Source organism: Homo sapiens, chromosome 8 (genome assembly GCF_000001405.40).
Source record: "Homo sapiens chromosome 8, GRCh38.p14 Primary Assembly".
NCBI classification, from domain to species: domain Eukaryota; kingdom Metazoa; phylum Chordata; class Mammalia; order Primates; family Hominidae; genus Homo; species Homo sapiens.
In genome coordinates this window covers 9,755,059-9,782,681 of record NC_000008.11, presented here as the reverse complement: position 1 = coordinate 9,782,681, position 27,623 = coordinate 9,755,059, and the positions used below count along the sequence as shown (strand labels likewise).

General features: G+C 38.8%; 1 protein-coding gene across 3 annotated transcripts in view, besides 1 other annotated feature; it reads right to left on the bottom strand.

The window, feature by feature from the left end:
- Positions 1-335: 335 nt before the first annotated feature.
- TNKS (tankyrase) overlaps positions 336-27,623 on the bottom strand; it is a 226,435-nt gene continuing 199,147 nt past the window's right edge. The window contains exons 21-28 of one of the 3 annotated variants that reach the window (XM_011543845.4): positions 21,046-21,166; positions 19,438-19,535; positions 17,892-17,966; positions 16,885-16,990; positions 16,257-16,443; positions 12,420-12,576; positions 10,259-10,313; positions 9,620-10,153 (exon numbers count right to left, since the gene is read on the bottom strand). In XM_011543845.4, coding sequence (XP_011542147.1) covers positions 10,260-10,313; positions 12,420-12,576; positions 16,257-16,443; positions 16,885-16,990; positions 17,892-17,966; positions 19,438-19,535; positions 21,046-21,166 — 798 coding nt within the window. In that variant the 3' untranslated portion in view covers positions 9,620-10,153; position 10,259. Of the gene's footprint in view, positions 6,033-9,619; positions 10,154-10,258; positions 10,314-12,419; positions 12,577-16,256; positions 16,444-16,884; positions 16,991-17,891; positions 17,967-19,437; positions 19,536-21,045; positions 21,167-27,623 lie in introns of those variants that run through there. The other 2 variants (NM_003747.3, XM_011543846.4) reach the window with 2 other exon arrangements.
- Positions 646-725: an enhancer, noted in NCBI's record as "active region_26988". NCBI's record gives its function as "activates an Ori minimal core promoter by ATAC-STARR-seq in GM12878 lymphoblastoid cells {active_cell/tissue: GM12878}" and the evidence as "EXISTENCE:reporter gene assay evidence [ECO:0000049][PMID:35858748]".

The window sequence follows — 27,623 nt, the reverse complement described above, 5'->3', positions numbered from 1 at the left end:
GTCTGTGAGCAATCATGTTGTGCAAGGCCCCTGGGCTGCCTTTGGACCTGGTAGGAGGTCTGGCTCTAAAGTGTCAGCCTGTTTGTTTAAGAGATATTTCTGAAAGGAACCCATGTTGCCCGTGCTATTGCAGAAGTTATTCAGTAACTGCCATGTGGGCTGAGACGTGAGGATAAGTCACTTAAAACCCAGGTCTCACTGGAAGATGGAGAGGGAGGGTTGGTATTTGTATTCTGACAGTTTTTCAAGTCAGTTGTGTTAAGGTTGGTCAGGCAGAAATGAACAAGCAGGGCAAAATGAAAATACTTAAGAGCTAACTGCTATCCACACAAGTGTACTTTAAAAATGGTTTTATTGAATATTAATCATTTACAAGTACAGTGAGCTAGACATTAAGCCAAAGCACAATTGCAGGTTAAATATAATCACAAAGATGTCTTAAATAGAAACCCACCAGGCAGGCAGGTTAAGTTCCTTGATGCCCTCCTTTGGAAAGAAGTGGAGGGTGAGGGAAAAAGGACTTCCATTTCAGGTGACGAGATGATGACTAGAGGACTTTAACATGCTGTAGGTGATTTCCCATGACCACAGCTGTAGGATTGCCAGATTTAGAAAAACCAAACAATGAGAAAAACCAGCATGCTCAGTTAAATTTGAATTTCAGACAAATAATGAATGCTTTTACTGTAAATATATGCCAAATATTGCATGAAACATTCTTAACGTGAAATTGTTTCTCTGAAATTCAAACTTAACTGGGCATCTTGTACTTGATCTGACAATCCTACAAATAGATAAATACAAAAAAGAAAGGAGAGGGGGTTGTAACCCCTGCCACTGTTGGGTCACACAGAGACTAAAAATAAAAACAACACGAATAATGAACCAAAGAGTCACTACACTGGTTGCTCACACAGACCAACATCACAATGAGAAAACACAATTACTACTCCGAGTGCTGTTGCCAGGCAACATAACATTTTCTCAAAGCTGGTTTTGTAAATGTTTTGAGAAACCTTGATAAAAGTACCTTTTTAGTTTGTAGGTATCAAAGACAAACATTACTACTACAAAGATAAGATGAGCTTGAAACAATGGGAGCAGAAGCAGGTGTTATATGCACATGAAGAGTTTCAGTGTTTTGTGTCACGGAGACAATGTTTACATACTCAAGGTCATCTTCTAGGTCTAGGCTATCGGCCTCAAAGATCTGTGTTCTTTCCTAACTTTGAATGGGTTTTCTAGCCTTTCATCCTGAACTTTGGGAGGGGTGCGCGGGTGTGTGAGGGACACCCCACTACCAGGGTTCAACTGCATTTCTCTGCAAACACTCTGAATCAACACAAGGGCTTTCAGGGCTGCCTGCAGAAATGGGTAGACTGATGTAAAAGAAATCACAGAACAATCTGAATTCTGGAACGTGAAAGAAACCTCTTTGAAAGGATGGGAGGTAGGGCAGGTGCGAAGACGTGAAGTGTAAAGCAAAAAAGAATGTGAAAGGAGGAAAAGCCGAAATGCAATCTACAGTGCGAATGTTATTTCAGAGGAGGCAGAACTCTCTGGCAATGTATAAAACTCGTCATACTACGACCATATTTGGTCGTGCAAAGTATATAAAATCATTAGCTTCCTCTAGGTTTTCACTTTAGCATAACCATAATTTACATTTTAAAACAATTAAAAAACACAGCTTGCATATCACTCATATTCTACAAGGTATCACAGTTGCTGTCGTATCCCCACATACACAACTGAATAGGCTTTGAAATCTTTCCAGCACTTCTCCAAACCAGAAATCTGGTAGCTGAGGAAGTTCCAATATGGAGAAATTGAAATGGATTAATTTTAATCAGCTCCATTGCATGTAAGGGAATATTACTTATGAAATATACCATCATAAAATAAGATGAACAGGTCTGAAACACATGGAGACATGGCCGACTCACTGACACACCTTTCAAACACTAAGAAATGGGACTACAATGTTTTATTTATTAAAATATAAAAGGTTAAAAAGTTTCCGCCATAGTTAAGGCTTTCTAGAGGGGAAAAATTTAATTTATTAATGGCAGAGTGCACAAGTTGCTGAAGAAGCCTCATGTTCTAGAATAGTAGTTTTCGAGTGCATTTGCTTTCCATATGCTAGATGTGTACAATAGCTCAAACATCACTTTCACAATTACTTTCTTTTCACTTCTGTCACTGATCTGACATTAAACAAATTTGACTTTACTCTTTAAATACGTATCTGACATGAAATCCTATCTTAATGGCAGTTTTGAATACCTGCCAAATTAGTAAGGTCTATAGCTTTACGTGAGACAATTAGTCCAACAGAAAACACAAGAAGAAGGCTATTTGTCACAGATATCACACAAGAGGGATTCGGATACAATGGGGGAAAGGTGCTTGAAAATACACACCACTTCTGTTTGCAAGGCCATTTACAGGAATCCAGATAGTGCACATGTTAAAAAGGCGGGGGTGGGGACAATGCCCAATAACCCTTCGTGCCATTGGGAGAGACACTGAAACAGAAAAACCTAGACAACTTATTGCATTCTAATGCCGTTCTCCGGCATATATCAAAATTTTATTTTTTGTAAAACGGATACAATAATAGAATGTTAATCTACATTATTTGCTTGCCATATTCAGGCATTTCTCTGTATACTTCAATGCACTTTGTATTTTGAGAGCAAAGGGAAATCAGTCTAGCCACTAACATCAAGCTCAAAGAAGTATAAGGATGCTATTTCATGAAAACATCCTAATGTTGATTCTACTTATGCTGCTTGAAAAGCTAGAAATTCCAAACTCCAAGAAGGAAAAGGAAAACAAGAATCCTGGTTGCACTGCTGTTATTTTGCATCGAATCAAAACTCTGGGTTCCATGCTGTCATTTGTTAACAAAGCGGCAGTGTTCTGAGCAAAGCGCATGAGGCCTAATACCCATTCCTGGTTGTGATACAAAAGCTAGGAGGTATCTGGTCTCCTTTTTTAAGACCCAAGATGAGGAGAAAATGAATGGAGTCAAAGGTCATTGCTGGAGCTAATTTTAATTCCAGACTAGTAATTTAGGAAAGAGGGAAGGAGGTCAAATACAGGGAGAAAGTTCGGGACCAGGGCACTTAATTTATGCCTGAGTCAAGTATCCAGCAGGCCAACAGCAGGTAAACTGGAACCATCAGGTCTGGAGAAGCCCTTTAGTTTTGGAACTCGGGTAGAGCCGGTGGAGACGTTCAGATTCTTTCTTCCATGTGGTTAGGGAAACAGAGGGGCCATTTCGGGGTAGGCCATATTGGATGATCCTAACTTGCTAGTATTTCTATATAGTACATATACAAAAAATAAAAGACTTCAGCCTAATTTAATGCCATGCTTTTATATTGGAAAGGGTTCTTCATACGGCTACAGATGAAAATCCCAAATGTAATAAACTTGTCCTAACTTTTGAGTGCACTCATGATGACCTTTGGTTTTCAAGTTCTGAAAAAAATGTATTTGGCTCCTCTGATATATCCATTAACCCACTCTCTTAAGCAGATGAGTAATATATGCACACTCTTTCAAGAACTACTATATACTTGAATCATTATAGGACAAGAAGCACCGCAAATGTCTTCCTTACACAGTACCTTCACCTGGCACACAGAGCATGAGACGTATAACACTGGCAGTTTAAATACTGAACCACAGTTTAACTTCTCAAGTGTAAGGACCAAGATGAAAACTGGCGCATCCATTCATCTAGTTAGTATGATGGAAACAACATACAACCACAGTTAGGTAGTGGTTTATCTTTTTAATGAAGCCATAAAGCTTTCCATATCTATATCATATTAACTCTTTTACTTAACTAAAAATCACAGCTGTGTTTACCATTTTAAACTACGTCTGGGGGAAGGTAAGTAAGACACACTTGACAGCTACTGAAAACTACACAGATGGCAATTTCTTCAACCCTTTGTTACAGCAAAAGAGAAGGAAAGAAGGGGAAAAAAAGCCCTCTTAATGAATATCAACTCTCAAAGCTTCACCTGGAATTCTAGTGCTATTAAACAAGTAGCCAAGACACAAACACCCAGCTTGGGTCACTGAAACTTCAAAAGAAGCAACAACTGAGGCTAATTCTCGATTTAATTTTGAGGACCCATAAAAATTCAGCTACAAACATTCAAACTAGTCTGGATGCCTAGTTCCAGCACTGGGTTGAAGCCAAAATCAAAGCAAAATGTATATATTTTAAGAGTCTATTTCTAGAAGTTTTGCATGTAACCATTTTATTTTGCTTCAGGAGATTAAAGGAGGTCACAGCTTAATCACCTTGCATTAAACCCATCGTTTTCAGGGCTTTGAATTGCAATGGCAAGTTTGTGTCACACTGTCTTTCCTATTCCTCCTCGTGTTTATATTTCTTTCGCTTCAAAGCAGAGTAGATGCACAGTATATCAAGTAAATAAGTTAGTGCACTCAATTCATATTCAGTTAAGGTGAAAAGGGCAAGTGTAAGAACTATAAAGGATCATTTTTTTTTATAAATGTCAATGGCACTTGGTAAATGTTGATGAAAATAAACAGTAATTTCACAAAGAAAATTGTATGGTATTTCTTTCTCACCTTCATTGAAAAAATAACAGAAAGGGCTTTGGTTTCAATTTTTGTTCTCCTTGTCTAAACACACTAAGAAGTTTGAAGAAATGGTTCAGAAATTTAATGCAAGGATCTTTATGAACTATTTGAAGCATGCCACTCAAAATAAACCCCAAATCTGGAGTAAACAAAAAAGTCCTTGCATTTGTGTGTATCTATCCACTATTCGAGTCTGAATCCCAGCATTCTCAACTAAAGAAACAATCAAGTGGTATTTTTGTGACCCTCATCAAGTGCAGTAATTTCACTGACTTTTGAAATAAGGCAGCTAATTTGGAGGGGTAACAATCCCAACAGTACAGATTAAGGGAAGGGAAGCATGTATTTTTTGGAGGCATCCCCTGGATCCATTGGGGCTGCCATGATACAGAACCACACGCTCCTCACCCTCCTTAATGCAGCTCTTCCTTCACAGCCTCCCCAGTTTTTTCACCTTGGAACTCAAGCCCGTGTCAACCTGCATCTCCAGTACTGTCCCGAAGACCTCTGTGGCAGGCTTGTGTTGGAAAGAGCAAGTGGCCTTCACCGGCTTTGACTTCTCTGAATTTAGGCGTTCCTAAGTCAGGTTGGTGTTTGTGCCCTTCTCTTGTAAGATAGGCCAATTCATAAAAAGGTACTAAAACTTGATGTTTTTTCCTTTTCATCTCAATTTATGATAACGAGAAGTGCAGCTACAGAGCAAAATAAAAAAATTTTAAAAAGTGGAAACTGAATCTTGCTCAGCCAGAAGCTTGGGTTGCACTGCTAATGATTTTGTCAGCGTGACTTTGTGCAAAATATCCTCAAGAAGGCTCTGGCTCATTTTCAAAGTAACCCAAAAAACACAAAAAAACAAAAAACAAACAAACAATAGCCAATGATGCATGTCTGGCAAATCAAAAACAAGCTTGTTGCCTGTCGTATGTGTATATTTGTTATAGACACGTCATGCATAACAAAACAAATGTAGTGTGTGAATTGTGAACATTTGAAAAAGCATTGGTTTTCTTATTTTCCATTTCCAAGTCTAGATCGAAGCAATCTTGTTTTAGAAATGGATAATTGCAATGAAAATGAGCCTGAGATATGTTAAAAGGCCGCCCCTGTAAACATTTCCTCAAAGGGAACAGTAGCAGTTGAGTATGTATCAGTTACTCATACTATTCATCACTATAGCAATGCTTTATAGAAGACAAACAGCTTATTTCTAGGCTGTCAGGGACTTCTAGAATATTGATGTTGTTATTAGAAACAATCCTCTGTAATCCAGTCCCAGGTTGAAATCTGATCTGGCCTTCACCAGCAGGCATTCACTAGGTCTTCTGCTCTGCGGCTGTTGCGGTCTGGGAAGGGGCTTCTGGCTTCATGATCTGGTAAGTGATAAGATACTCTGGGTATGCCTGGGAAGGACAAGAAGAAAAACAAATCACCCTTCTAGTAGGCACAATATTAAAGCCTTGCCGAATGTGGAAGCCTCAAAGGCTGTTAATCGTGACCAATATTCTATATAGACTCAGTTTCTTAATAGGTGCCTGAACAATTTGAGGTTCACCTACTTAACTGTAAATAAATGTGTATAAACCCTACAATCTAGAAAACTGAATGTTATTTCTACTTCGAATACTGTCAATTAAGCTCCATTCATCCCTTATTAGAGAGCCATGTGTCATAAGCAGGGAAACTAAGGCCCGAGGTAGCACTAATATCTTTTTCACCTCACAGAGCATTGGTGCTGTCACACAGCGTGTGTTCAATAAAAGTTTGCTAAATGAAAGAAAAATTTTGCTGAATCCAGTCCAAATTAATCATAGAAGATGATGTAACCCACTGAGCTAGAAGGAGTAAGGGTGAGATGTACTGAGTCACCAATAACCCAGAAACAACAGTTTGGGAACAATATTTAAAAACTGACTACTCAAAGGCATCATTTACAGGAGAGATAAGGGCTCCGATTTAGACTGGCCTCCTTCATATTCTCTTTCTCTTTTTTCTTGCAGTCAGTAAAACACAAGGCTGTGTCTGGAATGGGAAGAGTTCTTCTTGGTGGGAGCAGGAAAAAGGAGGCTGATCAGAGGAAGCTGCTGAAAACCTAACCAGAAATTGCAGTGAAGGCAGCAATTTGGAAGGAGAGGTAGGACACCCCTTAGTGAGTAGACTACATAGGAATTCTTCAGCCCTAACTATAACATGACGATGAAACTAGATTCAGTAGTTCAGAGTGGTCTGTGACTAAAAGAAGACTCTTGGGTGAGCAAAGTGTTTTGGGGACCAAAAATAGTTTGTTCAATGCTGACCAACAAACTACTTGCATATAGATACAGGATAAGATAATAAAAGGAAAGAAAGATAAGTAAAAACTGAATAGTAATATTAGGATTTTTTGTGAGAACTAAATGCAAAAGTCTTAGAATAGGTCTGGCATAGTAAGGATCTATTATTGTTATTATTTTTATTAGTATTATTCATTAGAGAGTACTCCCTCCTAAAAGCTCTCAGCAAGGACTTTAAAAATAACAAAAAAACATAAATGTTAAGTTCTGTCTACATATATATATATATATATATATATATATATATATATATATATATAGAACCATTCATAATATTCTTTTCCGTAATTCCAGTCTGCTCTGATTTTAGTTAAAAACAACAACAGTTTCTATTTTAGTACATTTAGTGGGAAGAAACGAAGATTGAAAATCTCTCCTGACTTTCCAATCTGAAGTCTCAGTAACCAGTCTGTACTTTTATTTTTGTGAGAATATTACAGTTTCTCACAAAAGAAACTATCTGTAGTTTTATCTTAAGACATACACTTAATTTTTGAAATGGTTTACTAAAACAATCTAGGTCAGATACCTACTGCTAATTCTAGAGTTGGGTATAAAAAAATCTAGCAAAGCTCACATACTGGTAAAAACTGAAAATACTAATTAATCAACCAGGTGGCTTAATGGTCAAGAAAACTATTTATCACTAGCATCCGTGTATTGAGCATCTACCACATAAGAACACTCTGGTGTGAGATGTGGACCCTGCTGTGAAGGAGCTTACCATGCGGACAGACAAAAACAGGAGAAATGTAAAAAGAACGCAGGCTGGCATATGCTGAGTGTCAAAAATGAGTGGATGCCCACCCCTACTTCCTTTTATCCGAGTGAAGTTTAATATCTATAATACTTTCTATGACATTTTACTTGCGGAAAAGCTGTTGAAGCAAAGGAGTCAATAGTGCCGGTGTCTGCATTTAGGTAGCTCATGATTTAAGGGGATCCCTGACACACGTCCATCTTAGTCAGGTGGATTCTAAGATTCTAATGGCATGAGTTCCTTAAAGGTCCTTATCTAAATGCTCCCGGTTCCTAATGATTAGGCTACTGAATTGTTTCTGTGTGCCCTTTAAGTTACTAATTAATCAATTACAGTCCAGAGGGATTAAGGGTAAGGGAATTACTGAACTGCAGAACTAGAAGGGCCTAAGATGGACCAAAAACCGTCATTTTCCGTCAGGTCACTTTAAATCCATGCTGGTTATACCAGCGTAGGATGTATGTATGTATTTATTTACTTATTTTTTAAATACACAACCACTTCTGCTAACTCATTTTCTGAATTTTCTTCTTAATCCAAATCCCTAACACTAAAATTTGAATTCAAATGCTCTCAGTTTATGTCTCATAGAGGTGAGGAAGGGACCGTCATGCTCTCTTGAATGATTCTGTATGTTTGGAAACCATTTTAGAAATCATTCTATTCTATAGTCTTTTCTTTTCCAGGTTAAGTAATTCTGCATTGTTCACATCAGTTCAGTAAAGTAGCTGAAATCTCTGGAGAAACCAATGAGCAGAGAACACCTCTCCTTCATGTCTAATGTGAAGTTTAAAGTACAACATAAACAAATACCACTGACATCTTAAGTCCAATCATATGTAATAATCAGAGCCATTTTTCTTTCCAAGTACAGTTCAGTTAACCTTCAATATATCTTTTCAATCTTCAAGAAAGAAACATTCCCACCAATAACGAATACTACTACTCAAATCATCCTCAATCAAAAACACATAAAACGTGTGTGTTTTTGAAAGTTAAACATTAAGAGTGAAAGATGATTTAGAGTATGACTAAGGAGAATGAAATAAAAGTTAGCAAAGGAAAACTTCCCTATAAAATTAGCAAAAACTGCTCATGAGAAAGTACTCAATTAGCAGACGCTAGAGTTAACACGATCCATGTGTACAAGTATACCTGAATATGGAAGAGCAATTATCCTCCCCGGAAATAAAATAAATGCTGAGTGCATTTTTTTATTTAGGCATTTTTTTTTTCTTTCAAATAAGTTTTGTACTAATCACTCTCTAAAATTATTTCATGAGACACTCTGACTAAATTATCAAGTCAAATTTTACCTGGGAGATGGTTAATTAGTAAATTTCAGAAAAGTAAACTTAAACTTATCTTCTAAGTATTCCTTATTATTTCTTTGTACCCAATTATGAAATAAATATTTACCACTACAGATAACTTATATTTAAAACATATGGTAAAGAGAACTGAAACCACTCATTAATGCCCAGTGATAACCATCTTATGTTGTGGGTGAATCAGAGATAACTTACAGTATATTTAAAATACATGGTAAAGAGAACTGAAACCACTCATTATCACCCAGTGATAACCATATTCTTATGCTGTGGGTGAATCTATGTTTGGTATATATTATGTAAATGTTAAAAAATATCAGACATATGAATATGTTTATTTAACAATTCTGCTTTTGCTTAATATTTAGGTTGTTTAAATTTTTTATTGTGATAAGACAGTGATGACTATTCATATATTCATGTATATAGTGTGTGTTTGTGACTATCACTGATTATTCCAATACAAATTTCTAGAAGAAGTATAATTACTGAATAAAAGTTAAAAAAAAGCTTCTTTTCTAGAAGTTAAAGGTTTATGATTTAAACAGAAAAATATGACAAATTTATTCCTTCCTTTTTGTAAACTTTTTATTTGGAAACAGCTACCAACTTACAAGTAAGTTGCAAAAATTAAAATGGTACCAAAAACAGCTACATAACCTCACCCAGATCTACGTTTGGGAAGGTTTTATTTATCTCATTTGCTTTATCATTTGCCCCTTCCCTATCCCTGTATACTAGATACACCCACACCCACACATACGCACTACACACACACACACACACACACACACACAGACACACACACACACACACACAAACACACACACACACATTCTCCCCAAAACGTTTACAAGTTATATACATCATCATGGTCCTTTATCCCTAAATATGCCAGTATATATTTTCTAAGCATAGACATATTGCCTTACGTAAGTACAGAATCAACCTTATAATTTTACATTGATACAATCCTTTTATTTAATGTCCATATTCCAATTCTGTCAGTTGATCTAATAATGTACTTTCTCTTCCAATACTGGATGCAGTTGGGGGCAGAAGGTTAACTTCGTTTTCATGTCTCTTGGGCCTCATGTAATCTGGAAAGTTAGCACAGCCTTTCTTTTATAATATTAACATTTTTGAAGAATACAATCTTTCAACATTAAAAAAAGTAAAACATTCCTCATTTTGATTAGACTTACATCATGTATTTTTGGCTGGAATGCTGCAGAGATGTCGTGCCTTTAGAGTATCCACCTAGAGAGATAATATAAGCCTATCTGTCCCTCATTGGTGATGTTGATTTTGATTATCTGGTCAAGGCATTGTCCCCTTTCTCCAATATATAATTACTCCTCCCCCCAGCCCCCTTTGAAAGTAAGTCTGTAATAAGAAAACCACGCAAATATTCTTCTCCTTAGTGAAACAATCCCCATATTTAGCATCCATTAATAATTCTTGCCTGGTCTAATAATGGGTACATGATGAGTCCCATGTCATCCCTCCCTCCACCCGTCCTTCCCTGTTTCTCCCTCCCTCCTTCTCTCTCCCTCTCTCCCCCTCCATCCCTCCCTACCTCTGTCTCCTCTCACTCCCTCCCTTTCTCCCTCCCCCATCCCTCTGCCTATCCCTTCTTCCCTCCCACCTCTTTCTCCCTCTCACTCCCTCCCACTCCCTCCCTCTCCCCCTCCCTCCCTCTTCCTCCCTCTCTCCCCATCCCTTCCTTCTGCTCTCCCTCACTTTCTCCCTCCGTTCCGCTCTCTAGCTCTCTCTCCCTCCCTCCCCTCTCTCCCCGCTTCATTCCCCCTTCTCCCTTCCTCCCCCACTTCCCTTCTCCTCTCTCTCCTGCCTTCCTTTTTTTCTCTCTCCTTCCTCCAATCCTTCCTTTCTCACTCCCTGTTCCTTCCTCTCTCGCTTTCTCCCTTCCTCTCTCTCTCTCTCTCTCTCCCTCCCTTCCTGCCTCTCCCCTCCATTCATCCCTCTCTCTCTTTCCCTCCCTCTTTCCTTCCTCTCTTCCTCCCTTCTTTCTTTCCTCTCCCTTTCTCTCTTCCTTCCTCTCTCGCTTTCTCCCTTGCTTCCTCTCTCAGTCTTTCTCCCTCCCTTCCTCTCTCTCCCGTTCTTTCCTTCCCTTTATCTCTTTCCCCCTTCCTTCTTCTCTCCCTCCCTTCTTCTCTCTCTTTTCCTTTCCTCTGTCCCTCCCTTCCTTAGTATCTGTCTCCCTTTCTTTCCCTCCCTTTCTCTCTTTCCCTCCCTCCCTTCCTCTCTCTCTCCCTCCCTGCTTCCCTTCCTCTCTCTCCCTCCTTTCTTCTCTCTTCCTTCCTTCCTCTCTCCTCCCTCCCTTCCTCGCTCTCTCTTCCTCCCTCACTTCCTTCCTCCCTCCCTCCTTTCCTCGCTCTCTCCCTCCCTTCCTCTCTCTCTTCCTCCCTCACTTCCTTCCTTCCTCTCTTCTCTCCCTCCTTTCCTTCCTGTCTGTCTCTCTCTCTCTCCTTCCCTCCCTTCCTTGGTTTCTCTTTCTCTCATATACACACACATGCTTATATTACTACTTACCCATAAATTTACATGGGTGTACACACACGTTAGAAACCATGAGATCATAGTAATACTTCCAATTTCAGTCCACCCTTAGAGTCTTTCTTACCTTCTCCATTCCATATTTGTATGTCCCTTCTTCTACCATGAGAATTTTGGCTCCTCAAATCAATACATCAACACATCCGCTCATGTGCTCAATCCTATAATATGCTTAAGAGTTTCACTGTTTTGCCCACGGTATCTCCATCAACACATTTACTAAAAGGAGTTCAGGATTCCTTTGTCAGTCTTCCCCCAACAGCATTCCCTACCCTGCCCATGACTGAAGGCACAGTATAAAATACTGTTTTCATAGGTTATATATATTTAGTTATTTCCTTCTTTATTTTTCTCTTTTATTGTAGTTATGGTATTCATTTGAAGTTCACTTACATTCAGACAAATTGTTTTTGTTTTTGGACAAATCCTGTGGCATGTACATCCATGAAGACCCACTAACAGCAGCTGCCCTGGCATGCTGCCCACGAAGTGGCACAAGGCATTAGTTCAGAGCTGCAGGCCTCAAAACGGCATGAGGGCCCAAGCCTTTGTTTCTCAGCTGCCCTCTTGTTCACACTGTGTTATGTGGCTGACAGCTACTAATGGGTTTTAGGTAAAAAGTTGATGTCAAAGAATTATTTTGATACCTTTATTTTGTATCTGAAGTAATTAATACTAGCACACTGTGTGGTGGATATTTCACTGAAAAGTGTCTCAAGTCTTACACGGTCTCTGTGCTCTATTGACATGTTTGTGAACTTGGTTATGCTTGTTTGATGAGTAACATACCTGTTCTCCTCTGTAGATGACATATTCAGCATATGCCAGCCCATTGACGCTCGGTCTACCAATGACTGAGTGGTGCCCTGGAGGCGCGTGGGCCATTTTCATGGTGCTAAACTGCAGAAAGGATTTCCCAAGGGTCACTCTACAGAAGAGCATTTGTCTAAGGAAAAAGAAAAAAACAATGCTTTGAAGGAAGCTTTAAATCTTACAATAATATAACTGCTAGATCTATTAATTTTTTAAAAATTTAACATAAGGCAAGCTAATTTAAATGTCATTTTCAGATTTATGAGTAGGAATGGGATGGAATTTGATATAATGATTTGCTATAAACAGTTACCAGACTCAATAGTTACACTTAAAGTTTAAAGTAGTTTTGGTATGGCTTAGGAATCGGCCATAGAAAATGCCTGCTAGGGAGATCAAGACCATCCTGGCTAACACGGTAAAAACCTCGTCTCTACTAAAAATACAAAAAGTTAGCCGGGTGTGGTGGCGGGCGCCTGTAGTCTCAGCTACTTGGGAGGCTGAGGCAGGAGAATGGCACGAACACGGGAGGTGGAGCTTGCAGTGAGCCGAGATCGCGCCACTGCACTCCAGGCTGGGCGACAGAGCGAGACTCCGTCTCAAAAAAAAAAAAAAAAAAAAAAAAAGAAAATGCCTGCCAGTAAGTTTTGCCTGGTGGAAAAAGGGAAAAAACCAGAGAAAAAACTGAGCCCTTGCATGGATGGGTAGGTGGAAAGTGAAGAAAATAAGCTGATGGAAACAACACCTGAAATTAAGATTGGGTTTATTCATTACAGGGAAAAAAGTAGAAACTGGGATGAGGTAAACAGTAATAATAAAAGTGGATCATGAACGAAAGTACTTAGCTTAAATGTATGGCTGAAAATCATAATAGTCTGGGTGAAACCTGAATTAGAGCAGATGTTAAGTATCACAGAGTAAGAAAGACTGACTGGGAAGAAAGTCTATTATATACACCAGGGGTTAGCAAGCTATAGCCCATGGCTCAATCCAGCCTGCAATCTGGTTTTGTAAATACAATTTTATTGGCACACAGCCATGCATTCATTTACATATAGTCTGTGGTTGCTTTTGCGCTACAAGGGCAGAATTGAGTTACTGTGACAGGGATTGTATGACCTGCAAAACCTAAAATAATTATTATATATCCCTTAAAGAAAATGTCTGCTAATCTCTAATATAAGCAATAAACATTTTTACAAATTAGTACAAATGATCACACTGTTAAATGTAAACAGTTACAATTCAGTCAAATTGTTTTTAGTAATGGAGTATAAGCTTTGTGTTATAAGTAACCAGAGATTTTATCTTGAGTCAACTAAAATTTGTGCTGGATCCAGGACAACTGGGTCTTATCTGGACTGGCTTTTTGAGTTGGATGCTATTGATGATCCTCTGGGATGCTGGCTTGGTCTACTATATTCTCCTGCAGGTCCCAGAGAAAAGGGCTTTGCTCTCCATCAGAAGGAGGCTTTTTGAGCTCCATCTCTCTCTACATTTGTGGCAGTGCTATGTTGTCGTTAGATTCTGCTAGTCTCTTACGTCACACAAAGGTGAACTTGACAGGCCCTGGTCTTCTGCTTCCTGCCCCAGGGCTCGCCTGTTGCTGCCGAGGCAGGAGATGACGTGGGACCTGCTCAGCCAGCGGTGAGCTGCAGCTGCAGATGGGCAAGTAGAGAGCTGGCTCAAGTCTGCTCACTGGCTTGTCTGGTGCATTGTGGTGCATTCTGCAGACGCAGCAGCCTAAATGGTAGGGTTACCAATTAGCCCTGGTGGCAAATTTTGACAAATGCAAGACAGGAGCCAGCAGACAAATTCGTCTCTTTCTCTCACTGATATACTACTGTTGTGAGATGCCGTAGTTGATACAGCCTCTCCGGAGATGCCTCATGGACTGGGCAATCGACTGCACTCACTATGAGACTGTGGCCAGCTCATGAATGCACCTCACTGCGGTTGCTCTGCTGTCTTCTCCACCTCAGTTCCTTTTGGGCCCTCATTCCTGCTTCCCTGGGGCTGCACTGGCCAAATACTAGTCACATGCTTTTGCTTGAGGCTCTGTTTTCCAGAAATCCTGGCTAAGACTTAAACTTGTGTGTCTAATTTTAATGAGCGACTGTTAATTTTCATTGAGGTTCACTTTTATTGCTTATTTAGGTTCATTTTTGTCTCCAGAGGAATTAGGTTTGAAGCAAAAAAACAAACAAAAAAACCCAAAAATACTTTTACATGCTATACATTCTTGAAAATTTCTCTGTATTCTTTTTTTTTTTTTTTTTTGAGACGGAGTCTCTCTCTGTCGCCCAGGCTGGAGTGCAGTGGCGCGATCTCGGCTCACTGCAACCTCCGCCTCCTGGGTACTCACCATTCTCCTGCCTCAGCCTCCCGAGTAGCTTGGACTACAAGCGCCTGCCACCACGCCCGGCTAATTTTTTGTATTTTTAGTAGAGACGGGGTTGCACCGTGTTAGCCAGGATGGTCTCAATCTCCTGACGGCATGATCTGCCCGCCTCGGCCTCCCAAAGTGCTGGGATTACAGGTGTGAGCCACCATGCCCAGCCGAAAATTTCTCTGTATTCCTAACCACAGAGGTCTTAATGGAAGGAAGTTTCCTTCCGGGTATATGACATCCGACTCCAAATGGCTGATGGCAATAATTTTGTTCAAAACACAACTGAGAGATAAGTTTTAAGGTCAATAATCACAATTTCAAGGTTACTGGGGCTTTTCTCCCTCAGAGATCCTTGTTCTGAAATTATTTGGGTCTTTTTAAGGTCTTAACCAAATTACAAAGTATCTTATTAACCTGGCTTGTTAAAAAGAATGCATTTGGTAAGTAAGTTTACACAGAAATGTAATAAATCCCAATCTTTGTACAGTATAATTCTTTTGTATTTTTTCATTGCCAAGGAAAGGGAAAGTACTTTTTTCGCCACTGACATCACAGAGATTATACCATTATTCTCTCCAATTTTTGAGTTTTAAAAGTCTATTAACAAGGCCAATATTCATTTGTTTGCTATTAATTCCAAAGTTGATATTTTAAGTTGCCAAGGCTAATTATATATCCTGCCTTAAAACAACAACATCACCAGCAACATCAGAAGTAAATTAAAGAGTCTATGTTTTTTATAGAAGTGTGTCTTCATTCAAATGTGACTAGAGCTAGCAGTTCTTTGTTCCACAGAAATCATCCTTAGCCTTGCCATATTCTGATTACAGAGGAAGAAAAGTGAAGCCCAGGGAGAAAGCCAAGATGCAGGGAGTTTTATCATAACCCGTGACTGGAGGCCATGTACCTGGTTTTTACCCCTAGTTATCTGCTCTGTTGTTATTGCTCCTGTCAGAAGAGGCTGATCAGCTGTTCCCACCCATTCCCAGAACCAACGGGATTTACCGGGATGCAAGACTGAGGATAATCTGTGACTTCTGCAGAGCCTGATAAACCAATTTGGGGCTGGGCACGGTGGCTCATGCCTGTAATCCCAGCATTTTGGGAGGCCGAGGTGGGCAGATCATGAGATCAGGAGTTCGAGACCAGCTTGGCCAACATGGCAAAACCCCATCTCTACTAAAAATACAAAAATTTGCTGGGCGTGGTGGCAGGTGCCTGTAATCCCAGCTACTGAGGAGGCTGAGGCAGGAGAATTGCTTGAACCCAGGAGGTGGAGGTTGCGTGAGCCAGGATCGTGCCACCGCACTCCAGCCTGGGTGACAAGAGCAAGACTTCATCTCAAAAAAAAAAAAAAAAAAAAGACAATTTGGTTCGTGACCTAGGGGTGGGAAACGTTACACTAATGGCAAGATGCTTACCTGTGACATATATAGCATGACCTGTCCTTGTGTGTAGGGCAGCCTGTTCCTCCTCCAATTCCATAAACATATTGGTTGCTTTTTGAGGAGTTTTCAGCAAAATAAATCCCGGCCCCAAACATTCCTCCTATGTATGCATGTCGCTCATCAAACCCTTTATGAATAATGGCATTAATGAAAGGAGAACCTAGAAATACGAAGACAGAAAGATTCGTTTTTGAACACTTTTCTAGAAGCTCAATTACCTGCACACTATTTGCATCGGGCAGGTTAATATTAAGAAATGAATGGTGTATAAATGAAAAGTATTTTCTAAGAAGGTCTATTATACATAATAATGTACTAGTACAAAATTACAACAAAAGTAATTCACTAGGTGGCTCAATTTGCAATTTAAGTACTAAAATAATTTTAGATCAAGTATTTTCACTGTATATGCACTGGAAAGTCTGTACTGATGTGTGATACATTAGAAAGCTGGTACCAAGAAGTAATTATTTGAACAAAATAATCAAAACAAGCCGTTTTTAACACAACCGTATTATAGTCAATTTAACGTAGGTTTTTCCCTTTACTGACTCCTGCAAAGGCCCAGGGAGACGTCCACCGTCCCTGCCACGCTGCTTACCATGAAACAACATGCGCTCATTGTGATGGTTGTGATTCTCCTCAGACACTTCCTTCTGTCGGTGGCAGAACCGCTCCCTCAACTTCTTGTTGACAACTTTTTGAATCTTTAAGGATGAAGAAGAAAGAAACATTATCGGTGAAACGTGCATTTATGATTTAAAATGAAAAGTATGTTTTCCTTTTAGGAAGGTTCAATTTTTATTTTGCTTAAGACATAATTTAAAAGTGATAAAGCTACCATGTCAGTGTAATTCAGAAAATACTCTAGCTGTTAGTGACATAATTTTCAGTTACAGTTTTTGTTGTTCTATACCAGACCTGGCTGTTACCTCTAAATCACCTCAGGATTAAAAAAAAAAATAGGTAAAAAGGTTATGTTTAGGCATCTCCCCAGACTTAATACATTTTAGGAGATGGGGATCTGTAAATCTGTATTTTTTTTAAAAAAGTTCCCTGGGTTATTCTGATGTGTACCAGTATAACTTTTACAGGTCTGTTAACTCAAAGGGTTAAACCAGTTCTCTACAGGTTTTATTCATCTTTATGATACCCCTTTGTAAAAAGCTTGAGTCATCTGTTCCATATTATAAATTGAGATACCGAGATTAAGAAATATATGTATTCTGAGGTAATTACTGGTTCAATTAGATTGAAGATCCAGGACTTTGATGCAACTCTCAAATGATAAAAAACATTATTGTCAGCTATGGCCTGTATTTGTGCATGAGCAGGGAGACCAATATCCACGTAAGTATCACTAGTAGAAGCTGATTTAGCCTCCTGTTTGTAGCTTTGACGCTTTCAGAATGTCTCTATTTTTAGTGACGTATTGTCTTGGGGAGTTAGAGATATTGTAGTGAGAAGAGTGCTATCTGACTTCAGACAGGTGACGAATTATCTTTCACAGTTTGAAAATATGACTTAATAAACTTTTTTCATTGTCTAGATTTGGTTTTTAGGCAAGCCTTGCAATCCAGTTTTCACCATGAAACTTTAAAAACTTACTCGAATGACATTGTATCTGTTGAAGATGCCGCCAGCATTACCACCATCTCTGTGTTCTCGAATAGTACTTTGCATCTACAGAACAAAATAACTAATTTTATAAAAACATCCCAGTGTGTAATTCTAGACAATGATGAGTCTAAAATTCAGTATTAATAAATAAATAGGAGTTCACTATAAATTGATGAACAAGTTTAGTGGATAAGTATTTTTGGTGAGAAAATAATTTCAAACATAAATATTAAATTTATGCACTTTCTATTTACTTTTAAATAAAAGTTCTGAAAGAGTTTTCTGTAAACACAATGGGGAAACATATTAAAAAACACATTAAGTCATCTACAATTACTATCTTATCTTATTGAGAAGAAGAACTAACACTCTGATTAAGTCAAACAAAAACTCCTTAAATGCCCGTTGGACAAATGCTAAAAATAAACAATTTTTAAAAAATATTTGTTCTGTAGGTGAAATATTCCATATTATCTCAATAGTCTTCAGCTTGGGATCTCTAAGTATATTTACACAGACCAGGGGACATTGACTATAATGTACTACTAAAGGGAATAACTGTCTTCTGACTACTCTCTAAATTAAAAATAATTATGGAAAAGAAAAATGTTTTAAAGATCTAAGTTTCTCAGAGAATTAACTCAATAAAAAAAATGAATTCTCTTCCTTACTGCTCCACTTGTGAAGAGTCACTACATTTTTGACATTGTTATCAAAATGTACTAACTGCTAGGAGAATTAGGTAGTAAGACACCGGACCCCATGATGCCTTCCTGATGCGCTACGTATGAGCTGAAATACAGCCCTGGGGTCATGGTCCTGAGTTCCCTATGCAAGTTCCTAGCCTGGGAATGAAAATAAAATGAGCACTAATTAAACAAACAAACAAGAATTAGGCATACCTTTTTCTGCCTAGGTATGTGCATAACACAATTGGGTAGCTTACTTATAACAATGGCATTAGGCTGTTTGTTTATGCATAAGCCGTCAGTGGAGCAGGAGTCTCACTGGCATCTGACCACCAGGAGGGTTACACAAACAGCCTTCATAGGGGCTCAGAAGAACTGTGACTGGAAAAATGTTATGCAGAATAATGAGGCAGACCCAGAAGCATACGTGACGATTAGGCATATTATTTTATAGTCACATTTATAACTGCATAAAAACAAGGATGAGAACATATTTGCTCTCTATGAGGCAAGAGTTTTTCATTCTATGTCATTCTTAGGTGGCACTGTAACAATATAAGAAAATAGTTGTAATAGGCTCCTTATTTATTTTGCATGAGATTCAAGAAAATCTCCAGAATAAAAAGACAGATGGGCCCCATGCATTAGAAAACCTAGGCTTATGATGTGAAAACCATGGGGCGCCGTCATATTTTAATTTTGGCAATATTCTACCACAGTGGCTAAGACAGACTGATTAATAGGCATGTGACCGCAAGGCAATGTAAGACGAGGTTAATTCCAGAAAAAGAGGTTTATCCACAGATTTCAAGAAAAGCAAATGAAAGATTTCTGATGTATATTACCTCTTCTTCCACTGACTGATATTCTTTATCTTCTGGAGCAAGATCCAGCAAAATCGTTCCCTGATTAACACAGTGAAAAGTCAAATAAGGATTGGTGCCTGTCGGAGAGAAAAATTAACATATAAAACAAAAGTCTACACTACTCAGGCTCTATTTTATAAAAAAAAAAAAAAAAAAAAAATTCATAATAAGTAATTGAGGTTTTGGAACAAACCTAAACTATCTGCAATTTGAACCTGATAAATTCGGTTACTTTAAACAAATATACTCAAAGACAGACAGGAGAAAAAAATGAAGATGTTTGGGGACTGATTTTATCTGTTCTTTTTTTTTTTTTTTTGAGACGGAGCCTCGCTCTGTCGCCCAGGCTGGAGTGCAGTGACGTGATCTCGGCTTACTGCAAGCTCCGCCTCCCGGGTTCACACCATTCTCCTGCCTCAGCCTCCCTAGTAGCTGGGATTACAGGCGCCCACCACCACACCCAGCTAATTTTCTGTATTTTGTTTAGTAGAGACAGGGTTTCATCATGTTAGCCAGGATAGTCTCAATCTCCTGACCTCATGATCTGCCTGCCTCGGCCTCCCAAAGTGCTGGGATTACAGGCGTGAGCCACTGCGCCCAGCCCAATTTTATCTGTTGTTACAGAGCTTCTTGTACAGACTGCAGAGTTCAACAAATATTTGTTGAATTAAACTCTATCATGAACATACATGAAGCTATGTCTGACACAAAAAAAAAGAAAAACAGGCACTGACATCACAATATAGTCAGATCTAAAATATAAAAATTATCCTCTAAAAACTCTTGTAAGATGGCTTGAAATAGCCACTTACAATTGCTTTAAAACACATTATCTTTGTTAGTTTCATGGATGAACTAAAATACAGATAAATAAGCAAGACTCAAGCACAAAATCTTCCAGTTTGAATTTCACATCACTCTTTTATAATTTGATTAGCTCTGTAGATTCTCCTTCCTTGCTTTCCTATAGTGAAGGTGCTTCTAACAAATAGAGAAATGGGTAAAAACAGAGGGGAAAGAGGCTTGTAACGGCAAAGTACAATGGAAAAAGACAAAGCTGACAGTCATGTGGGAGGGAGGAAAGTTCAAGTTAAGAAAGGTTAGATTGTAAAAAACCATGTTAGCAATGTTTGATTCTATCCTAAAAGAAACAGGATTCTATTACAGGGGTTTAAGCAATGGAGTGATATGATCATATAATCATTTTGAAAAGATTGTGTTCACATTGTAGAGAAGGTACTGGAAGGAAGCAGGAAGCAAATGTAAAGGCTGGAGATAAACCAGGTGGCTGGGACAGTCCACGAGAGAGAATGGTGGCTTGGATCAAGTGACAGTCATGGGAAAGGACAGAAGTACAGAGATTCCAGAAAAATTGAGGATACAAAGTGTTGGGAGACAGGGAAGACTGACTCAGATTTTTCCAGCTAGAGGGAGCATGAGGCCAATAACTGAGATGGGGAAGGGACAGGAGGTACAATAGTTCAGTGTATGGTTCTGGGACTGGACTGCCTGAGTTCAATTATCAGCCCCAATACTTACCTTGTACCACTGATTTCTGAAATTTTTTTTTTTTTCTGAATAGCTTACCTTGTTGTCCACCTAAGAGTCTTTCTACTCCTTTGATTAATTTGTGGCGGTGCCCATATGCATTGATGCCTATTTCTTTCAACTCTTCATGACCCATATCAGCCAACACATCTAGTGTAATCTGAAAAATGAAACAAAATTAGCTAGGATATCTTTAACAGTTCTTAAGAGGACAAAAGCTTTTCCAATTGCCTTCAATGCTACGAGTACCATTCAAATTAAGAAAATTCTTTTGTTCCCTTTATAAACATGAGCTTACAATTTTTTTAAAGTTGTCTTGATAGTCTCATCAGCTTTTCTGCTTACTTGAAGTACTCTTTGATTTGCTTTTTGTCCATGAGAATTAAAAAGGGAGAAACAATACTATAGAAATACAAAATGATCATCACTATATTTCCTTTAGATTATTTTGTTCTATCATCTACTGCTTGCCTCAAGATAGAGGAGGAATCAGTAGCTTGAAAATGGGAAAACACCAGATCCTAGTATCCAGCAGGGAGTAGAAATGAACGGTGGGGGAAAGGGAGAGGCGTTCAGCACAAGTAAACAACGCAGGAAAAGGAGAAAGCAATTTTTAGATGAAGATAAGGAAGAACTTCTCAGTGCTAAGAAATACTCAAGCCCGGGACAGGCTTCCTTAAAAAGCAGTGAGATTGACATCTCAAGTATTTGGTTAGATTACAAACTGTTTTAAAGAGGCTACATTTTAAAATTCCAATTTGGATAAGAAAATTAGATTCTTTTTAAACTCTCTCATAAATTCTCAGACTTAATCCCTTCTCCTTAAAATACATTCTGTTTTTATACAACATAGTGCTTTTTAATTTTTGGTTAGTTTTTAACTTTTGGTTATTCATCCTTGTAAAATGGAGATGATTAGTTGGCTCAAAATAACCTAATTCCTTTATGGACTAAAGTAGCTGGGACTCTACTACCACCCAGTGGCTACATTCTGAACACACAGGATGAACGCGGGTAGCCACATTTCTTGAAGGCTGAACATGCAATTTTCCAGCCCTGATGAAGCTAGCTTTGTGACAATCCATATACTAGTCTACAAGATTAGTCTTTGATTTTCCCCTGCCTTGGAAAACCAAGAAATCCTTTTATAGACATGCAGTTTCCAACTCAAACAAGATCGCTTTTTTCCACTTTTTAACTTGCAAGTAACATTTAAAAAACTGACAAATTAGGCCTGGACCTCTGCTGATTTTTTTGTCAGAATAAAATATGAGTTTGATCTTTCCAGTGAAATGAGCATATATCACTCGTTCTTTGGAAATAATTTTCTATATTGCTTCTAAGTGGCCATTTAAGCAATAATTGCTTCATTGCACAAAGCGGGCAATTCACATCCAACCACCCAAAAGAAAGGTTTCAGCAGAGCTTTAAAAACAAAACAAAACAAAACAACAAACCCCAGTTCTGAAATACACATCTTTGAGATGGAATAGTTCACAAAATAATAGGAGCCTTTACATTCTTAGCTAGACATGATTTTAATATAATTTGGAAACTATGTTATTGATGTCCCATTTTTTTCTTCTAAATATTCTAAACTAACTTCAGTTTAAAACCAAGGGTCTCATATCTATGTGGTAACTTCAACTTAGAGAATTCTCAGACTTTACTTTTTTTTTTTTTGTTTTGTTTTCTTTTGAGACAGAGTCTCGCTCTGTCGCCCCGGCTGGAGTGCAGTGGCGCGATCTCAGCGGCTCACTGCAACCTCCGCCTCCTGGGTTCACGCCATTCTCTTGCCTCAGCCTCTCAAGTCGCTGGGACTACAGGCGCCCGCCACCACGCCCGGCTAATTTTTTTGTATTTTTAGTAGAGATGGGGTTTCACCGTGTTAGCCAGGATGGTCTCGATCTCCTGACCTCGTGATCTGCCCGTCTTGGCCTCCCAAAGTGCTGGGATTACAGGCGTGAGCCACCGCGCCTGGCCCTCGTCAGACTTTTCTGGATTGATACATACAGTGCACGTCTGGAGGAAGCAGACACCAGGCCAGCAAAACACAATATTCTCTACAATGTTCTAGAGGAGTAATGGAGAATATTTAATATATTTATTCATTTTATAGCTCTAATCATAAAATGAATACAAAAAACCCAAACCAAACCAACAAAACAACCTGAAAAGACTGATAGCAAGTCACTTAGTTTAGAAGGCAAGGCTGAGAGGAGCTCTCACACCTAACGTGGAAAGTGCTCTCCTACCTCCTGGCATTTGTGTCTTCACTGTAATCCCTTCCCCGTGTGAGACAGACTTATGAACTCACTTCTAACAAATATAATACAGCAGAAGTGATGGGAAATTACTTTTTACATTAGGTAATAAAGAGACTGTGGCCTCCATCTTGGGCGCTCACGCTTTGGACTGCTCACCCTAGAAGAACTGGCTGCCACGCTATGGCAGACAGACTCAATGATTCCCACCTCCTTACATCACATCCTGTGTGCTCCCCTCCCCTGGAGTGCAGGCTGGCCTAGTGACTTGCTTCTAACCAAGCAAATACAGCAATGGTGATGAGAAGTGACTAGCAGATCATCTTTCTCTTGCTGGCTTTGATAGAGCAAGAAACCATGTTATACAGGCTCACATGGCAAGGAACTGAGGGCTTCAGTCCAACAGACTGCAAGGGACTGAATCCTGCCAATAAGCACGTGAGGGTATGGAAGGGGATCCTTCTCCAGTAGAGTCTTTAGATGAGATACTGACCCTGGCTAATGCTCTGTAGCCTTGTGAGAGATCGTGAAGCAAAGGACACAACTAAGCTGTGCATAGACTCCTGACTCACAAAATGTGTGCTGTTTTGAGCTGCTGAGTTTGCGGTAATTTATCAAGCAGCAGCAGGTAAGTAATACTCCATAAGGTCACTGTGGAGAGGCCCACAGGTGAGGAATCAAGGCCAGTCAACCAACACTGTGAGAGAGCTTGAAAGCGGGTCCCAGCCCTTGCCAGGTGAGTCCCCAGGTGAGACTGCAGACCTGTTGGACAGTTTACTGCAGCTTCAGGACAGACCTTGAGCCAGAGGCACCCAACTAAGCCATGCTTAGATTGTTGACATACAGAAACTGTGGAATAATACATGTTTGTTATTTTAAGCCATTAAGTTTTGGGTAATTTGTTACACAGCAGTAGATAAGTGATCTACCTACGCTATCTTGGCATTTATCCAATTAGATACTTACAGTCACACAAAAGGAATGCATATGAAAATAAGTAACTAAAGAAACAAAAGAAAATGTTTATTAGGCTATCCTGAAGGATAGAAGAGATGAAAAGCTATCAACCTGTGGAATCTAAAAAAAACAAAAAGGGAATGGGACAACTTTCTATACTTGCAACTGAATATAAATATACATTATTCTTGCAATTCCATCCAACCATTCATCATCCAACCACCATCCACACAATATTTGTTGTGTACTCGCTACATAACAAGCACAGTTCCGAGCACTTTATTTACATTTCCTCATTTAATCCTTACAATGACAGATAATGAAGTACTATTAATGTATTTATGAGGTCACTGGTACTTAGAGAAGTCATAAAAATAGTACACAGAAGAGCTGAGATGTATAGCTGTATCTGTCTTTTCCCTGTTTATATTCTTTAAAAGGATGACTAGAAGGTGGACATGATTAAGCGTTAAATTTAGTCGCAGTGAGTTACATGGTGTCCAATTTGTCCACATATCTATCAGGCAGTGGCCACTGAAAAACCTTCAATGAAAAGCTAAGAAATTCAGATTTATGTTAGCTCATTCACATATAAAATGTTTAATGAGTACCTTCTTTATGCTATGTATTTCTTTAAAAAGTAACTAAATATTTCATTTAATTCTAAAACAACCCCTTATAGTTGGAAAGTTACATAGTTGGTCCAAATAACTGATAGTAAAAGAGTGGGGCCATGAAACAGAGTGCTAACCAAAGTTCATGCTATTTACTTGAGGTAACCAAGAAACAAAAAGTGGGTCAATGTCTTGGACAATCCCTAAGAGAACTCTCGTGAAGGTGACCTGCTTGGTCACGGTTGCAAGGGGGGCTGGGAAGGAAGGAGCAGGAAGGAGATGAGGAAAGGTTCTCAGAAGAAGGTCATAATTCAGCTAAGCAGCAGGAGCTCATCAGTCAGGGGAAGGAGGGAAGTGGGCTTAAGACAGAGGGAATACCATGTGCAAAGGGAAAATCAGTTAAAAGAATACAGAGTATTTGAGGGACCTTAAGTACTGTAGTTCAAAATGGTTACAGGAGAGTATGTATCAAGGATTAAAAGGAGCACAGCAGAGCAGCAGGCACAGAGAGGATCTTAAAGGGCCTTATCTATCAAACTAAGAGGCTTAGAAGTATACCAGAGGCTGGCCAGGTGTGGTGGCTCATGCCTGTAATCTCAGCACTTTGGGAGGCCAAGGCGGGCAGATCACGGGGTCAGGAGTTTGAGACCAGCCTGACCAACATGGTGAAACCCCATCTCTACTAAAAATACAAAAATTAGCCGGGTATGGTGGCCTATGCCTGTAATCCCAGCTACTCAGGAGGCTGAGGCAAGAGAATCGTGTGAACCTGGGAGGCGGAGGTTGCAGTGAGCTGAGATCACGCCACTGCACTCCAGCCTGGGCAACAGAGCTAGACTCCATCTCAAAAACAAACAAACAAAAAAAAACAAACAAAAACAAAAAAAGTATACCAAAGGCCCTGGGAAGTCTTTTCAGCAGAGTAATATGATCAAAGTTGTATTTTAGGAGGATGAGACTGTTGGCATTATGAAGGGCAGATTTGGAAGGGAAGGCAACTGGGAATAAGAAGAAGATAAAATGGCATGGAAGGGATGAATCTGAAAGCAACTGGAGAACTGTATTTACAGGGCCTGGTAAATAGAAATGGTTAAAATAAAAGGAATGAAAGTAAGATTATTCCAAAATTCTGTAGCTGGGTAACTATGAGACTTTTGCATCAACAAAAGAAATAGAAATATCTGGATGGAAAGCAGGTTAGTTGGATTTTAGACATGTTGCTTCAAGACTCAGGAATTTTATATATACCCCTATCAGCTGTTAGACATTTTTTTTTCTGAAAATCATATTTAAATTAACTTGCTCCTTTTTTAAAACCTTGACTTAGTTATTATACTGAGGAAATCACAAGCTTGTTGGGCTAGTTATTTCTATCTAGTATACATTAAAATAAAATTACTAAGAATAAAGATTATCCACGTGTCAGTTAAAGTCATCTTGCACATAAAGCAAAGGTCACTGCAAAAAGAGCTACCTCTAGCTTCTGAGAGTCATTTTACTTTGGGTGGGGAGAGAAAACTAGTTTTAATGAAAAAGACGTCCTCTTGCTTGGGCTTAAAAGGTTGTATGGTACAGCAGGAGTAATAAGAACTAACTTTATAATCAAGTTCACAATGAATTATGGGAGGCCATGCTTTTGTCTTCAAGAATTTGAAATCAAAATTTATCTGGTCACTTTCCATGAAAATACATAGGTTAACCATAAAAATGTCCACAAGCAGTCTTCCAAGTGATAGCATTTATGTTCTAGGAATTGCAGTGTAAATAAAATCTGTCTTTCCCATATAAAAAGTGTTCCTACCTATGTTCATAGGTACAAAGCTATGTTATAAAGGAAGGGCCAAAGTCACATGGGTACTATATTTCATTAACTAGAAAGGATACTATATTATTCAACATAGAACTTGGCAAAGTATCTATGGGAAACAGGACAATTTAGTTTAGAGACTTCCAAGAGAGTAACTGTGAAGATAGGAGGTGAGGCTATGATGTGCCGAAGGTTTTCTTCTGGGACCAGAAATAAAATAACTACATTCCACACCCCACTGGCATCCATGAGTAGGAACACAGGCAATGAGACATAGAAGCATGTCAAAGAGCATCAGAAAACAACGGCTCCCCTGGCTTAAGCCAAACAGATATGAATTAAATGCGTTCAATGCATGCACCCTCACTCCTCCCCGACTATACAAATACATTGACCATCATCACATATTACTGATATAGAATGTTAATGGGAGAAAATGCTAAGGGTTAAAGTTATGGAAAAGGTTATCAAATTTATTTATAATGGAAGGCTAGATAAATAACATTTGCAATTAAAATAAAAATAAATTTGATTGCTTGATGATTGGGCCAGACACAGTTCAATACAAAGAAAGGTAGTATCACCTGTCTGGAGGGAAAGAACTGTGCTTGGTAATATACATTAAATGCAATCGTCTATGTATTGATCAATAAAAGGCTATAGAAATTATTCTGGCTAAAAGAAAACCAATGGAACCATTTACTCAGAATGAAACTGCAGTAAAAAAAGAACAATGAAACTGATGAAACCAGGACAAGCTGTCAGAAGGAGTGACTAGGAGACTAAACTATTAAACTATTCAAATCAATAAAATGTGATAAATACGCCACAGGAAGTCAGTTACTGACAATGCGAATATACGATATAAATTTAAAAAGAACACATAAAATTATAATGCAAACTGACTAAAAGAAGAAAAATGAACATTCTTTAGAAAACTTTCATCAGTAAATTGGAATTATTTGTTTGAGTTAA